At 43.9% G+C, this 2,552-nt stretch overlaps 1 annotated feature.

Moving 5' to 3' along the window:
* Window positions 851-1,418: an enhancer, noted in NCBI's record as "OCT4-NANOG-H3K27ac-H3K4me1 hESC enhancer chrX:40710515-40711082 (GRCh37/hg19 assembly coordinates)". NCBI's record gives its function as "activates a minimal SCP1, AML or CMV promoter by ChIP-STARR-seq in naive H9 embryonic stem cells {active_cell/tissue: H9 hESC(naive)}" and the evidence as "EXISTENCE:reporter gene assay evidence [ECO:0000049][PMID:30033119]".

Genomic DNA, 2,552 nt, shown 5'->3' on the forward strand with positions numbered 1-2,552 from the left:
ACATAAGGCACACGTCCTGTGGGATTAGGGCCCCACCCTTATGACCTCATTTAACCTTAATTACTTCCCTAAAAGGCCCTATCTCCAAATACAGTCACATTGAGGATTAGGGCTTCACCATATGAATTTGGGAGTGGGGGCACAATTCAATCCATAACAAACACTTGCAGTTACAGAGCACTGACAGAGCTTCTTTGGACCATCTGTGCTGGTTCCCACAGCCAGCACTATGTGCGGGCATAGGTGCCAATTATGTGCTCATCTGCTTCGTGTGTTCCTATTCCCTTCTCCCTCCCTGGTTTTCTGGGAATCACCCCTGCCCCTCCCACTTTGGTAATGAGGTTATTACCCTAAGAACTACTAACTTAGTACAGTGTGCCCATGGCACCCTGAGGACAGTTGATGAATCCAGGAAAGGGATTAGAGGCAAGCTGTACCAATCACAATCCTTCTCTGGAAATTGTGGCTTTTATTATTTTTTTCATTTTTGGTATTGTCTATAGAGACTCTTAACACTTAAACTCACTTTAGCTCTTCTATCTAACTAAGGAAATCTAAATTTGTGGGCCTTTGGTGGAGGCCATTTTCTGTCATATAGACTAGGAAACAGGGATGACAGGGTTGCTGTAAGAAAGAAAATGGAGCAGGCTGGATGCAGTGGCTCATGCATGTAATCCCAGCACTTTGGGAGGGTCGAGGTCAGGAGTTCGAGACCAGCCTGGCCAACATGATGAAACCCCGTCTCTACTAAAAAAAAAAAAAAATTAGCCAGGTGTGGCAGCACATGCCTGTAATCTCAGCTACTCGGGAGGCTGAGGCAGGAGAATCACCTGAACCTAGGAGGCAGAGGTTGCAGTGAGCCGAGATTGTGCCATTGCACTCCAGCCTGGGCAATAGAGTGAGACTCCGTCTCAAAAAAAAAAAAAAAAAAATGGAGCAGATGGAAAAAGAAAGAGGCAGAAACAAGGGACAGAGAACATTCTAGCCCTAACTTCTTTCCCGCTTTATCCTGCCCTTGTGTTTTATGAAACACCCAGGAATAAATTGCCCTTTTTGCTTTAAGGAAGTTGAAGGAGTAGGAAACGATGGGGAAGAAAAAGAAACCTCACTTGTAACCGTAATAGGTTTGTTGCCCAATGTGAGGGACAAATCAATAGGCTGTGACACTGGGTTGCAGCAGAGAAAGAGGTTTAATCGCAGGGTCACCAAATGAGGAGATGGAAAGGAACCTCAAATTCATATCTTTGAGGAGTTTGGGGCTAGGGATTTCAAGGGTGTTGGAGGAGGCCGAAGTGTTGAATTGTTGATGGGTTGAAGAGTGCAGGGTGAAGTCATGGGACAGGGAGAAGAAACAGCTGTATTCTCATGCTGATTCGGTTCCTCTGTGGGGGTCTTCAAACTGGTTGGCATCAGTTGTCCTAATGGAATTCAGAATCTGAAAAACACAGTAAGCAATTATTATTATTATTATTATTGTTTTGAGACAGAGTCTCGCTCTGTCACCCAGGCTGGAGTGCAGTGGGGCGCAATCTCGGCTCACTGCAACCTCTGCCTCCCGGGTTCAAGCAATTCTCCTCCCTCAGCCTCCCGAGTAGCTGGAATTACAGGCGTGCACCACCACACCCGGCTAATTTTTATATTTTTTGTAGAGACGGGGTTTTACCATGTTGGCCAGGCTAGTCTCGAATTCCTGACCTCAAGTGACCCGCCCGCCTCAGCCTCCCAAAGTGCTGGGATTACAGGCGCGAGCCATTGCGCCTGGCCTTAAGTAATTCTTAAACAAAAGCCTTATGATTCTAATGTCAGAAATCCTATCTATAAGAACAGTGGAGATGAAAATGGTCAGTATCTAGTGCTACATGACTTTCGGTTGCAAGGAAATGGGCCAAAGTGCAGCCTGATTAATGCTTAATTATAACTACATTTCTGTCCTGAATTATTCTTAATTCTGCCTGTGAAGACAGCTTCACACTGAACTCCCGTCCCATCTCTTTTCCCTGCCTATCCCAGTGACACTTTTAGTACCTTTAAAACTAACCTTCTAAGTTAGCATATTCTATAGAGCACCTCTTTCCAATAAAATATAATGCAAGCCACATATGTAGTTTTCAGTTTTCTGGCAGCCACATTTCAAAAAGTAAAAAGAAACAGGTTAAATTTTAATATTTTATTTAACTCAGTATAACTACAGTATTATCATTTCAACATGTAATCATTTCAACATGCACTCTGAATTTTAAAAATTACCTCAGGTGATTATCATTCAAAAGGTTTGGCAAATAGGATTATCCATTGCCTCAAGAGCCTTAGAAATTCCTCTGGGAAGTAGAAGCTGAAAGAGGAAGGGTCACCAGCCAGGCTAAACTCTGGGCTTTAATGGGGCTTCTTTGTGGCAGCTCTGAGCTCTGGGAACCAGGGCAACCATGTGAGAATTCCAGGTTTCAACTTGTAACCAACTTGACCACCTCTCTAAATAAGTCTGATTCTCATTAACCACTAAGAGCTAAGAGTAGAGACTCTCTTCCTCATGAACATCATCTATCTGTCTGTGC

Source organism: Homo sapiens, chromosome X (assembly GCF_000001405.40).
Source record: "Homo sapiens chromosome X, GRCh38.p14 Primary Assembly".
In the NCBI taxonomy this organism is placed as follows: Eukaryota; Metazoa; Chordata; class Mammalia; order Primates; family Hominidae; genus Homo; species Homo sapiens.